This window comes from Homo sapiens, chromosome 3, assembly GCF_000001405.40.
Source record: "Homo sapiens chromosome 3, GRCh38.p14 Primary Assembly".
NCBI classification, from domain to species: domain Eukaryota; kingdom Metazoa; phylum Chordata; class Mammalia; order Primates; family Hominidae; genus Homo; species Homo sapiens.
The window spans coordinates 93,921,379-93,936,457 of record NC_000003.12 but is presented as its reverse complement, the minus strand read 5'-3'; the positions used below and the strand labels follow the sequence as shown (position 1 = coordinate 93,936,457).

Genomic DNA, 15,079 nt, shown 5'->3' with positions numbered 1-15,079 from the left:
TATTATTATTGCTTTTATATTTATTTATTTATATAATTTCAACTTTCTATTTTAGATTCAGGGGATACATGTGCAGGTTTGTTACATGGGCATATTACGTGGTGCTCAGATTTGGGGCAAAATGATCCTGTCACCCAAATAGTGAGCATAGCAAACAACAGTTAGTTTTTCAACTCTTTTCCCTCTCTTCCCCCTTTAATAGTCATCAGAGTCTATTATTGCCATTTTTTGGTTCACTAATCTTAGGGGGTCACATTATGACCCCATCTAGTCTTAATTACTTCCTTAAAGGACCTGTCTCCAAATATAGCCACACTGGGTGTTAGGGCTTCAACATATGAATTTGGAGCGGGGAAGGGGTGTGGGGGGGAGATGGGGACACATTCAGTCCATAACACCTTGCCAAGTACAATGAAAATGCTTATTTTATCATTTTACTTACTATGAAAAAAAAAACAGTAGTTTTTTCATTTTGTCTGTGGCTGACTTTTTTTTTTTTTTTAATGTGGACTTGAGTTTCTATGTTAACTGCCTCTTTCCTTTCTGCTTGTTTTATTTTTATTTTTTTCCTTGATTCCTTAGCCCAATGATATTCTCTCCTTTCCTTAATGAGTTATTGTTTTATTTCACTGTTATTTAGACTGTGTCTTAAAGCCTTTTGGTTATTTGACAGAGGGTTCTGAGATGCTGGTAGAAACCATTGAATTAGAAAGACTCACTTGACGATATACCAATATTCCAAGTAATCTCACTTGCAAATAAGCACTTTAAAAAATAAATTATATCCTAAGAGTCAAAGGAATGCCATTGATATCTGAAATCCTTCTAAGCCTCTAAGCACAGTTTCAGACTTGCTTATTTCAGGGATCTAGGGGCTATTGCAAGTAGGGCGATATTGCAAAATTAGGAGAATTATTTTACTGTTGCCTTTTTAAGTGTCCAGGAACACTTTGCCTGTTGCTTTTCCAAACATAAGTACAGACCCAGGCCACAGAACTAATATATTGATGTAATTGTAACAAAATAAGTCAAATAGAACAAAAACAAAACATTTTCTGTGCAGTAACTTCTTGGTGCATGATGTCAAAATCAAATGATGTTTTGGGGTCCTAGTGGGTAGGAGATAAAAAAGACAATGAAAGCTGAGTGTGGGACTATCTTGCTGCATGTCATGAAAAAGACCTCCTGTTGTAGCATTAGGAAACATAACCAGTTTGCAATCTAGTAGTCAGGAGAAAAAAAATAGAGTTGTAGAAAATTCCTTCTTTATCCTTGCCAACATCTGAGCTCTTGAATCCCTTCAATGAAGCATCTTCATTGATCACTGACCAAGAACAAACAATTCAAATAAAAGAAATGGCCAGTGTAACTTTTTTTCTGGGTAATAAAGCCGTGTATTCTATCATTCGAGTAAAGATATTTGCTGTTTGGAGGGAATAACTAACGTGTACTGCTTTCTCTGTCTAGTTAATCAAAGGTTTTAATCTGTGGAAACAACGCCAGAGTGACTTTTTTTTTTTTTCCTAGAAAGGGGCTGTAAATTGAAGTTATAATTAAATCTTGGTGTAAGGAGAGGTCCGTTTCACTTCTGTTGTTGTTAAACAGTTCAGGCATTGCTCCTGTACTCATTCAATGATCTGTTCCAGAATGGAGGGTCAATGGTCACATTTTTTTTTTAATTCCACCAGTGGCTTTTCTACTTCTAAATAAATGCCAGCCTACACTCCCCTATCCTTAATGTTTTAGAACTCGCCTTTATATGTGTAACATTTCATTCACAGATTACTTCTTCTTTTTCTCTCCCTGGATTTAAATCTTTATCCACACCTATCTCTTAATGATCTTTGACTCTAGTAAAGTATTTCTCATCAGTCAGTATTTGTTCAGTCCTTCAAAAAGACCTAGATACAGTTCATTACAGAATGTTCTTTAACCCATTCCAACCCTTAACACAATATGAGAAGAAATCGTTGCATAGCAGCATAATCCTCAATGTGATACAAAATATAAAATCTAGAGAAAAGCAAGGATAATAGTTGGTGAATCCCTACATAAAAACCCATCTTTGAGTTTTCCTTAATCCTGGCAACCTTCACATTTTTTCAATTGCTTCTTTCCTCCAGTTGGAAATTTTCTGTGGTAGAAATCTTTATGAAAAATAACTGAAGTATTTTATAGTTAATGTAATTATTTTAAATACATTTTTGAATATACAGCCATTTTTACCATTATTATTATTATTTTTTTACCATTATTAACTAGCCTTTTTTTTTTTAATGTGATGGCGTCTTGCTCTGTCACCCAGGCTGGAGTGCAGTGGCGCAATCTCTGCTCACTCCAGCCTCCGCCTCCTGGGTTCAAGTGATTCTCCTGCCTCAGCCTCCTGAGTAACTGGGATTAGAGGTGCCCACCACCACTCCTGGTTAAATTTTTTTTTTTTTTTTTTTTTGAGACAGAGTCTCTTTCTGTCGCCCAGGCTGGAGTGCAGCAGCACGATCTCAGCTCACTGCACCCTCCGCCTCCTGGGTTCAAGTGATTCTTCTGCCTCAGCCTCCTGAGTAGCTGGGGTTACAAGCACGCACCACCGTGCCCAGCTAATTTTTGTATTTTTAGTAGAGACGGGGTTTCACCATATTGGCCAGGCTGATCTCAAACTCCTGACCTCGTGATCTGTCCTGGCTAAATTTTGTATTTTTAGTAGAGATTGCATTTCACCATGTTGGCCAGGCTAGTCTCGAACTGCTGACTTCAAGTGATCAGCTCACCTCGGCCTCCCAGAGTGTTGGGATTACAGGTGTGGGCCACCACGCCAGCCCATTATTAATTAATTTTTTAAATAATATATGCAATTCTTTTTTCTCAGGCTTTTTTTTTCTTTTTTTTTGAGGCAAGGTCTTGTGCTTTCACCCAGGCTGGAGTGCAGTGACACATTCGGGGCTCCCTGTACCTCAACCTTCTGGGCTCAAGCGATCCTTCAGCCTCAGCCTCTCAAGTAGCTGGGATTCCAGGTGTGCGCCACCATGCCCAGCTACTTTTTAAATTTTTTGTAGAGATGGTGTTTCCCTATGATGCCCAGGCTGGTTTCAAACTCTTGGGTTTAAGGGATCCTCCCACCTCAGCCTCCCAATGTGTTGGGATTACATGTGCGAGCCACAGTACCCAGCCTCAGTCTTGGTTTAAACAAAATATACTGTTTCATCAATTGAGACTTGTGAAGCACAGTTATGTCTCAAAGTATCAACTGGTGGTTCTCTATATTTGTAAAGTGAAAGCCATTTTCCTTCACCTCATCCAACACTGAAGCCCACACAAAGATAAAAATACTTGGCCAACCCAAGTGCTAGCCAAAGACTCTCTTCTCAGAAACATTCTTTCAAGGGCAATTTTTCATTTATGAGATGCCAAATAAGAAGAGCCTAGGGAAAAGAGAGATGGAAAGCAGAACTAAAAGAGAGATGAGCTTTTGGAGGGAAGAATGTGAGAACCATCTTTGCAAAAAAACAAGGGAGCAAAATGGAAGAGCTTCAGAGGATAAGCTATCCTAAAACCTGGATGCTCCTCCATCTGCCACCTCATCCTTAACCTGACTGATCAGTTTTGGACAACCTGCAGACCTTTGGTCCTGCCCTCCTTGAACAGAGGGTGGCATTAGCAGAGGGAGTGCTAGCATCACTGTCATTACAGGGGCTCTTATGAAACCAATAACAATAAATTATTTTTTGGAGGTAAGTCAATCAAATTTACACTCAAAAAACAAAGACTTACCCCCCACATGAAGAGAACATATGAAGGCTGTGAATACAATTTCAAAGAGAATTCCAGTTCATGTTTGCACAATGGTTTTATTATTGTCATAATTGTTCCACCTGCTTTGGTCATTATTTTGAAGGAGTGACTCAGATAAGTTAAAAAAATCAAGTTGACTCAGTTGTACTTCTTATCTTGAAAGACTCATAAACTCCACATTATAACCTAAAATTTTGAATCTGAATGTAACACTTTTCAAGCAACATAGTTGGGTTTTAACAAGGACTTTCTTGAGATACTTCTTAATATAAAGAAGTGAAACAAATGAGTAAGGGACAGTGTGCTAATACAAAAAGAGGACAGGGTTTGGATGCTGGTTGTCTGTGTTCTCAGCTGTGGGAACTTGCTAAAATTAACTCAACTTTAAATTTTAGCTTATTCATATATAAAACGGAAAATTTTAATCTACTTAGAACAGTTATGATTCAGATTAAAGGAGATAATGTAAAACAGCATTTATGTGCTCATATGTCATGGTTATTATGGTAAATAATGGAACTTTTAGATATTGCTGCATGTCAGCAGGGTGAATATTTTTGGGCAGAAGAACTTTGAGCCAATTGCTGAAAGCACTTCAAACCCCATGCTTGTCTCATCCAACAGTCCTGTAGTTTTAATTTGGGTTCATGATGTCATGCCTGTATCTTTCTGGCAAGAAGCAGTAGACTGCTTCAAAAGCCATTCTCTTAGATGGATGGGTTTATTTTGTAAAGGACAGCTAATTATTTAAGATAGTGACCTTATCCACTGCACAACCACATAATTTCTTTTACAAAAATTAAAGTCAGCTCATGGCAGTTGTGCAAGAGCAGAGTATGAGCTGTGGCAGCGGGAGTCATGGGAGACCAAACACGTAGAAAGTTTCTTCTGCTCTTTGACCGAGTGTTCTTTGGCTGAAAGTGGTGCAGCCAAAACCGTAACCAAAGAAGGCATTATGCTTCCAGAAAAGTCTCAGGAAAAGTATTGCAAGCAACAGTAGTAGCTGTCCGATTGGGCCCTAAAGGAAAGGGATTCAAGCAGTCAGTGTGAAAGCTGGAGATAAAGTACTTCTCTCAGAATATGGAGGCACCAAAGTAATTCTAGACCACAAGCATTATTTTTTTATTTAGAGATGGTGACATTCTTGGAAAGTAGGTAGACTGAAATAATTCACTGTTGAAATGGCATCAACATGAAGCTGCCCATTCCACTGAAGTTCTAAAATCGTACATCATATGTTAATTACTATGTCTTTTATTATAAAGTAATTATATCTAAACTAATGACATCAGTGTCTCTATAATTTAGTTTCACTGTATTGATAAACACATTTCCAAATAAAAATATGTAAATGAAAAAAGTTAAATCAGGTACATCATGGACATTTGAGTAGCAGAATACACTCAAGAAAAGAGCACTGGGCTAAGGGGATGGGTATATTTGAATTCCATTAGCACAACTCGTAGCAAATCATGTCACCTCTCTCAGCTTCAATTTCTTCAATAGGAAAATAGGGATGATAATTCTGTCTGATAGTTTATTTCAGCATGTGAAAATCAAATGAAATAATTAATTCGTGCTTTGAACATTGTTATGTATCATACCAATGTAAAGCATTGTTGGGCTGAACTAGATGAAATCCAAATTTAGTGCAAATATATTTAGACAAAATTTTTTGTTGTTGTTAGCTTAATTTTCCTGTAGGACAGAAGCATAACAGTTTTTGTTTTTTTAATATTCCTCTCAACAATTGAGACAATAAAACTTCCTGATTTTTGAAAAGCAGCAGACAATAAACAATGGATTGCAGGTCTGAGAGTTGGGATGCCTATGATCTAGCTGTAGTTTTGTTGTTTATTCACTTTACAATTATGGAAAAATATGTTGCATGCTTTTTACCTGAGTTTCATCATCTCTTAAATAATAAAGGTGGTTATGTTTACTTTTATAAACTTAAGTGGACATTCCCAAGAACTCAAAAACCTTGGCTATTCTGGGTGATTTAGACCTTTGCTTTCACAAGCATGAATACAGTATGTGTTATTACACCTGCTTTGTACCCTTTAGTTGGGGCCCATACGGGGAAAGAGATGTTCTTAAAAATCACTATCAAACTCCTAATTCCAAAAGTTAATATTGTGTAAGGAAAAAATGCCAAGAAGTGAATATATATGGAGCTTTATTTCCTAAGTGCATTTAACCTTGATTTTTAAAATTGAATCAGTGTATTCACCCTTCAATGAAAGTGTTATTGTTTTCCCCAGAAAGAATCACATAGTTGCTGTAAAGTTCAAAAAGTCCAAATTTTTTGCTGTATTTATTACAAACTAGCATGCGTAAAACTACTTAAAATAAATGAGATAATTGCCCACGTCAGGCTCTTTCACTGTTGACAGGACTGTCATTGATAAGTCAATAACACACTTGGCAGATAGCATGATCACAGAGTACCATCTTTTATATACGTTCTGCCTTGACTTAATCTCTATTTTAATGAGCATGATAAACATGTCAAGAGATAGGGTTACAAATCTAACCCAAACAATTTATTTATTTATCCATTACATTTAAACCTCTGCTTTGGCAAGTCAGAGAAATAAAGTAATATTACTTCACTCTTGAAAGATTTTTTTAGTTACTTAACTGATAAATATAGTAACTGTTGATAAATCTTTTTGCTTTTTTCTTTCTTCTATTGTCAACTTTTGAGTATTTATTGCTTATTGTTTACCAGGTAATAAGAGACAAGAAAAGGGAAAGAAATTCAGACATTTATATTACTTGTTTATCTTCTTAGTGAAAGAACCATTTGTGGTTAAGATCAGGAAAAAAGTTACTTGCAGATTTTATTTATGTTTTTTACATTTTTCATTAAAAAGCTGTATTAACATGCTAAAATAATAAACCAAAACTCGACACTCTCCATACTTTTCTCCAAATATAATTGTTGTATTAGCAGTTTGTCTTTCCAAACTCTTTTCTGTGTATTTTTCCACATGATATTTACATATATACTACTTTAGCTGATTTGTAGAGAATTATGCTATGAGTGTGGCATTTTACAACTTGCATTTTAACTTACTGTATCTTTGAGATCTCCAGTACAAGAGTATCTTCCTTTTAGCAACTGCATATTATTCCACAGTACGGGTTTATTATAGCTTTTATTTCCATTCCCCTCTTTTTTTTTTAAGTCAGGGTCTTGCTCTGTCACCCACACTGGAGTGCAGTGGTGTGATCATAGCTGACTATAGCCTTGACCCCCCACAGGCTCAAGTGATCCTCCTGCCTCAGCCTCCTGACTAGCTGGGACTACAGGTGTGCACCACTACACCTGGACAATTGTTAAAATTTTTTGGAGATGTGGGGTCTCTCTTTGTCATCCAGGCTGGTCTTGAACTCCTTGGCTCAAGTGATCCTCCTGCCTTGGCCTCCCAAAGTGCTGGGATTACAGGCATGAGCCACCGTGCCTGATCCTGTGCCCCTCTTGATAGATATTTAAGTCATTTTTAATTTTTTGATCTCACAAACAGTCTTTCAATAAACAATTCTATTTTTTCCAGCACATGGGCATATATGTAGGACATACTTAGAATCAGAGTTGTTGAGATGACGAGTATATGTGCTTTAAATTTTACCAAAATACCTTCAAATAAAACCTGCCAGTTTATGCTCCACTACCAGTGTACAAGAATGCATGTTTTCCCTTACTCTCACCAATAATTGATATTATCATTCTTTTAAAGTTTTGCCAGTCTAATATGCAAAAATATAATTTTTAAAATAGTTTGATTTGAACACTTTATAATGTTTATTTCCCGTTTATTCTCTGTAGTGATGGTTTATATGATTGTTTATATTGTTTTCTTTATAGTTTGTTTATATTTTAGAAATGATTTTATATACAACCGTGCATGCATTTCTGTATTGGTCGGCTTATCTGGATGCAATTTTTTCTATTCTATATGCTGTAAGTATTTTCCTCCAGTCTGTTGCTTGATATTGAACTTTGTTATGTTATTTTTATTGTTGCTGTTCAACAACAATCTCCACAGAGATCACAAAGGTTTTTCATTAAAATTGAGAAAGTTTATTACTCTTGCTTTAAAGATGGTATGGCTTTTTTTTTTTTTTTTTTGAGACAGAGTCTTGCTCTATTGCCCAGGCTGGAGTGCAGTGGCAGGATCTCAGCTCACTGTAACCTCTGGCTCCCTGGTTCAAATGATTCTCGTGTCTCAGTTTCCCAAATAGCTGGGATTACAGGCATGTTCCACCAGGCCTGGCTAAGACTATGGCTTTTGACATAGGCATTTCATCATGTTTTTTCTTTTTTTTCAGATTTTTTTTTTTAGAATGAGGGTCTTACTGGCTGGAGTGAAGTGGTATGATCACAGCTCACTGTAACCTTGAATTCCTGCACTCAAGTGGCACTCCCGCCTTAGCCTCCCAGGTAGCAAGGACTATAAGTGCATACCACCATGAACAATTAATATTTTTTATGTGGTGGCGCATTCTAGTAATCCCAGCTACTCAGGAGGCTGATGCAGGAGAATCACTTGAATCTGGCAGGCAGAGGTTGCAGTGAGCCGAGATCATGCCACTGCACTCCAGCCTGGGCGACAGAGCGAGACTCCGTCTCAAAAAAAAAAAAAAAAAAAAATATATATATATATATATACACACACACACATATATATACACACATATATATATACACAAGTATATATATATACATATATATATACACATATATATATACACACACACACACATATATATATATATACACATACACACATATATATATATATATATATATATGTTTGTTTTTTGTAGAAATGGGGTCTCACTATTTTGCCCAGGCTGGGTTTGAACCACCTGGGTTCAGGTGGACCTCCCACATCAGCCTCCCAAAGTGCTGGGATTACGAAGGTGAGCCACCACACCTGGCCTCAGCATGTTTTCTCTGATGTAGTCATAATAAAGGAAGTATTGAATATTATCTGGTGTGTTTAACCTCAAGTATAAACCTGAATAATTTGTGTAGACCATCATACAAGGGCTGCAGCTGCACACCAAACCCGCTCTCTGAATTGTTAACCAACGTGCTTCTGTATCTGCATTTTTTTCTTAGTTCGATCATACTGATTTTAAATGTCATACAATTCATAGGCAGAAAATGATTTTAACTCTTATTGTTTAATAAAACAATATATTTTACATGGAAAAATGATTAATTCATATAAACTGATTGTTTCCTTCAGTTTTGTCAAAGCAACAGGCTTCACAAGTCCTGGTTAGGAAGCGTCGTGCAAATTCTTTACTTGAAGAAACCAAACAGGGTAATCTTGAAAGAGAATGCATCGAAGAACTGTGCAATAAAGAAGAAGCCAGGGAGGTCTTTGAAAATGACCCGGAAACGGTAAGCATTTATGGAAACTATCAAGTTCACACATCTAGACATACAACTACAGACTGAACATTTCCAGCCTGTACTTCCTTCTGTTCCATCTTAAAGTCAATAATTCTGTGTATCACCTTCCACACATAACCACTTCCATTTCAGGAGGAAGTACCTTCAAAGGAAAGTGGGCTTGTTAGGCAGACATGATCACCAATAACAGCTTGTTCTGACTAAACTATAGTTCAGTTACACCTCATTATCAGCAAATAGTATTGACCTCATGGTTTGTAAATATTTTCTTCTAACCAGAATTTGATAGTGTTAGGGGGAGGGGAGAGGAAGTACCTTTAAAGGAAAATGGGCTTTTTAGGCAGACATGATCACCAATAACAGCTTGTTCTGACTAAACTATAGTTCAGTTACACTTCATTATCAGCAAATAGTATTGACCTCATGGTTTGCAAATATTTTCTTCTAACCAGAATTTGATAGTGTTAGAGGGAGGGGAAAGGATGTCTGAAGTATTAACGTGTGTGTGTGTGCGTGTGCGCGCGCACGCATGCATGCTAGTTTGGATTATTATTACAATGCTTCATTAAATTTCTCCATTGGCATTTATTTTTATTTTTATTTTTTGAAACAAAGTCTCTTTCTGTTGCCCAGGCTAGAGTGCAGTGGTGCAATCTCTGCTCACTGTAGCCCCCACTTCCCGGGTTCAAGAGATTCTCATGCCTCAGCCACCTGAGTAGGTGGGATTAGAGGCGTATGCCACCATGCCTGGCTAATTTTTGTATTTTTAGTAGAGACGGGGTTTTGCCATGTTGGCCAGGCAAGTCTCAAACTCCTGGGCTTAAGCAATCCACCTGCCTTGGCCTCCTAAAGTGCTGAGATTACAGGCATGAGCCACTGCGCCCGGCCCACTGTTACTTTACATGAAAGATTTTAAGTCACAATTGTAGGTATCATCTAATATTGAAATTTTAAATAGATTTTAAATAGATCTCAAAGTAGAGAGATCAGTGTAATACATTTCATTATAAAAACTCCCCCACCCCTTTAATAATAATCAACACTCTGCCATTCTTGTTTTACCTATTTTTTTCCCCATCCATTCTAATTTTTGTTTTGTTATTCTGGAATATTGTAAGGCATGCCTGTCTGCCCAAGATACCATATTAGTACATCACTCATTAATATTGAGTGTGTATTTCTAACACAATGGATACATTCTATCAGCTTAGCCTCTAAGCAGCAAAAGCCCAGTGAGGGAGAAGACCTTGATGTGGAGGAGGAAAGATAGTGAGGAAGGAAAACTCATTCATGTGCTTCCTCCCTTCCACTAATTCTAGCATTGGTCTCATTGACAGAAGAGAAAAAAATGACAGAAAGAGCAAGACAGAAAGGGGAGAAATGAAAAAAAAAGTTACTTTTTTTTTTTTTTTTTTTAGACAGGGTCTTGCTCTGTTGCCCAGGCTAGAGTGCAGTGGCATGATCATGGTTCACTGCAGCCCTGACCCCCCCGCTCAGGCAATCCTCCCGTCTCAGCCTCCTGTGTCGCTGAGACTACAGGTGTGCAGCCCCACACCTGGCTAATTTTGGTATTTTTTGTCGAGAGGGCGTTTTGCCATGTTGCCCAGTCTGGGCTCGAGCAATCTGCCCACCTTAGTCTCCCAAAGTGCTAGGATTACACGTGTGACCACAGTGATCCCTCTGCCCCACCCCCACCAAACATTTGTTACTGTGTTACAATTCTCATGATTACAGGTGTGATCATTTTCGACCCTACCCAACCACTCCCTGTCCACATCCCTAATACCACAGTCCACATTTCCAGTCCCCACAGTACTACTTATGCCTCAACATCTCTAATATATTCCTTTGACGGTCGCAATATCACCTTTGAATCCCATTATCTATTGTGTAGGTTTATATGAGAGGAGGAAAGAATGAGGCCTTTGACTCAGTTCTGGATGAGCTTATGTTCTGTACTTACTAAGTGGTAACATTGAATATGTCTTTGTGTAGAAATTCTGGTTTCTCATGAGGTATTCTTGTGCTGTTAATGGTACACATTAGATATATTATGGCTTAAGAATGCTTTTGTGGACTAGCCTGAGAACCTTACTATCAGAAATTTTTAACATTTTTCTCTTTTTAAGAAAGCACATTCTTTACTCCAAATTGACTGATTTACAGACAAACTTTTGGTACACAACCAATTTATAGGTAAGGTACTACATGTACATAAGATGTATAAGATAAATGTCTACTTTAATTCACTTCAAAGTATGTCACTGTTAGCTGGGCACCTTGGCTCACACCTGTAATTCCAGCACTTTGGGAGGCCAAGGTGGGAGGATCGCTTGAGCCCAGGAGTTTGAGGCCTAGGCAACATAGTGAGACCCCATCTCTACAAAAAAATAATTAACAACAAAAAACCAGCTGTGCATGGTGGCATGTACCTGTAGTTCCAGCTACTTGGGGGGCTGAGATGGGAGGATTACTTGAGCCCAGGAGGGTAAGGCTGCAGTGAGTCATGGTCATACCACTGCACTCTAGCATGGGTGACACAGAGAAACCTCGTCTCAAAAAAAAAAAAAAAAAGAGAGTACGTTACTGTGATTCAACATTGAATCTGGTGTAGGTGACCATTATGACATAAAATGTGTCAAATGGTTATCTAATCATTATGGAAAAATTAAAGGATGTACAAAAAAGGGCATGTATGATTATATTTACCATCCTAAATAGAGCTTGTTTTTAGATTAGAAGCTTTTGAAACATGATTAATTGATCAATATTTCTTTAAGCCTAAGTATCTTACTGGCTTAATTTTATTGTTTTCTCTTGGTATATTTTACTATATAAAAATTATAATGTGAAAATGATGGTTATATGTAACTTATTTGCATCTTTAATATAAAAACACATTATAAAATTAAGTTTTAACTCTATAATGAAATTTAGGTTTGCTAAGATATGTTTTCTTTTTCTTCTTTCTAGGATTATTTTTATCCAAAATACTTAGGTAAGTTCAAAACATCTCAATTATATAATCTTAGAAATGGAAGGGAACTTAGATATGTTCCTGTCTAACTCTCCACCTATCTATTCCATCCAATGTAATTTCATTATCCTTGGGAGTGAGGTTTCATTTTATATGCAATTTTGCTGTCTTTATATTTAACACATGTTGAGAAATTTGGAACGGTTCTTTAATTACCATGTGACATTTTAAATTTTAGTGTTTTTCTTTCTCATGTCTTTCTCATGAAGCTCTTGGGCTGATGCTCAGTTATATTGAGGTGCTAGACATAGTCTATGAGCATATGCGTTTTCATGGGTTAACTGTTTTTTTTTTTTTGTGAGGCAGCGCCTTGCTGTGTCACCCAGGCTGGAGTGCTGTGGCCTGCTCTCAGCTCACTGCAACTTCTGTCTCCCTGGTTCAAGTGATTCTCAAGTGCCTCAGCCTCCCGAGTAGCTGGGATTACAGGCATGTGCCACCACACCCAGCTAATTTTTGTATTTTTAGTAGAGACAGGGTTTCGCCATGTTGGCCAGGGTAGTCTTGAACTCCTGGGCTCAAGTGTCCACTCTCCTCAGCCTCCCAAAGTGCTAGGATTACAGGCATGACCCACCCTGCCCAGCCTTAGCTGCTGTATTTTAAAAGGGCAGTGGGATATGGATATATCCATGAAAAAGATGTTTTCTTTTGTAAAGTTACATGCAAGAATTTGTACTATTAAAGTGTAGAAAAGATAGTATATCAAGACTATTTCAGCTTTTTAATTTTAGATAGAAATGTAAATATTTTATAATAAAAATAGACAATATTTGGCTGTTAAATATTATGTGTACATTAAAAAAACAGTGTTAACTCTTGCTTCTTAGGGCCATGTAATGAGGCTGCATTTTTGCACGCACAATACTGTAGAGGATACATTCCTTTGATCAGAGTACATTTGGATAAAGATAAATACCATGCTAATACAGCATTATGTGTTCTGGGGAAGTTCCTTAGATAAAATATTTTTCATAATTTTATCCTTGTATCTCTCTTAACTTCCGCTTTTCTGGCCCTGCCCAACTCTTCTCTTTGCCTATCTCATTTGGCAACATGGTAAAAAAAACCAAAGTATAAAATAAAACAAACTAAAACAAAAACACAAGATGTGGGATCCAGGCTCAGACCTAAAAATTTTTAACTGTTTCAGATTAAACAAGTTGTTTAGCTTTCCAGCTTCTGTAGTTTTAAGTGTGCACTGTAACTATATTTTCTAACTTCAGAGCTTTTAAATCACCAAATATGTCAACGTACATAAATAACTTAATGTGTCAAAATTTCTTCAGATGTATTCTTGTTTAATCAACCCATCATGTGAAACAAAAATATACTTTTTATTATGATTTTTTTTAATTTAAATTTCATATTTTGGTCTTTATTTGTATATAGGCATGTGTGGTGAATTCCACTGTTAAAAACAATTTTTAAAAATGTCCTGCCTAAGTTACACTTTTTTTGTTATTTGATGTGTATATTCTATAGGCCAATGGCTCTAATTTGAAAAGCAAAACAAAACAGTCCTTTCTCTGGTAAATCTAACAGTAGTTTTACTAACTACAACAGCTCATACAGGAAGGTCCCTGTAGTGAGATAAGGTCACCAAAGAAATTAAAAAATTGTAACCCATATATTTGGGGCAATATTTAGACTTCGTTTTCAGGGGCTGATAAAGCACTTCAATTGGCCTACATATTCCATGTACTATCTTGAAAACATGCGATTTGGAAATAAGTACTCTGGGTTTCATTATAGTTTTTAAATTGTGTTCTTCTCTTTTGTAAGAAGTGGAATAAATAACTACCATTTCCATAGGCCTAGTATCACCTAATAGAGTGAGTGTTTCTAGTAAAGAGAGAGAAACTTCCTGGGAAGAATGGTGAACTCTGAGCCTAAATATAAACATTAGAAATCATTTTTTGATGTGAGCTGGCAAAAAATAAAATAAGGAAAAAACCTGAAAAATAAAAAAAAGAAATTATTTTTAGTTTCTAAGATAAGTTGGTGAATTACCTCAGAATGCTGACTCCCTCCCTTCAAATCTTCTCTAAAGAAACAATAAGATTCCAAGCACTAATAATAACAAAATAAAATGACAAAAAGAAGTTTAAGAAATGCCTGGGTAGGCGAAAAGCTGGCCTGACCTGCTGGTATGTGTGGTGGGGGATTGGGTTCTAACTGACAAGGCAGTAGTGACAAAACAGATTTGATAATTTAAAAAATGACATGAACTTTCCAATTGAGAAAACAAACACAAAAAATACAATAGAGCAAACCCCAAGTAACAAGAAGTTTTAAAATAACAAAAACAGAGATAGAAATAAGTGGAATAGAAAAACAAAAGTGAGCATTAACAAAAGCACATTCTCATTCTTTGAAAAGGTTAGTAAGTGAGACTGACATCTGGCAGGAATAATCAAGGAAAAACAAAAAAGAGAAAGAGGAAATGCCAATACATAGAGTACAAGATAGAAAGGGAAAATATTCTAAACTCAACACAGATTAAAAATATTATCATAAAATATTACAAACAGCTATATTAAATACACTTGGAAACCTAAATAAAATGGATGTGTTCCTAGAAAAACATAAAATATCTGTAATTTCACAGGAAGCAATAGAGAACTTAGTTATACAAACGAGTATTAAACAAGTTAAAACCGCAGCCAAAGCCCTCTTCTTCCTATTTCTCCCGAAACCCAGATCCAGATGGTTTTACAAATGAACTCTTCCAAATTTTAAGAAATTGTTAATGTTTCCCTTATTAAGATATTGTCCTTAAAAAATGAGCTTATTCTAAGAGGCTTATGTAATCTTGACTCCAAAAT

General features: G+C 36.5%; 1 protein-coding gene and 1 pseudogene across 2 annotated transcripts in view; both read left to right on the top strand.

Annotated features, from left to right (window-relative positions):
- PROS1 (protein S) overlaps positions 1-15,079 on the top strand; it is a 100,846-nt gene that overhangs the window by 37,439 nt on the left and 48,328 nt on the right. Inside the window, exons 2-4 of one of the 2 annotated variants that reach the window (NM_001314077.2) lie at positions 7,661-7,756; positions 9,051-9,208; positions 12,194-12,218. In NM_001314077.2, the coding sequence (NP_001301006.1) occupies positions 7,661-7,756; positions 9,051-9,208; positions 12,194-12,218 (279 nt within the window). The remainder of the gene's footprint in view (positions 1-7,660; positions 7,757-9,050; positions 9,209-12,193; positions 12,219-15,079) is intronic. The other variant, NM_000313.4, reaches the window with a different exon arrangement.
- Positions 4,613-5,098, top strand: HSPE1P17 (heat shock protein family E (Hsp10) member 1 pseudogene 17; annotated as a pseudogene).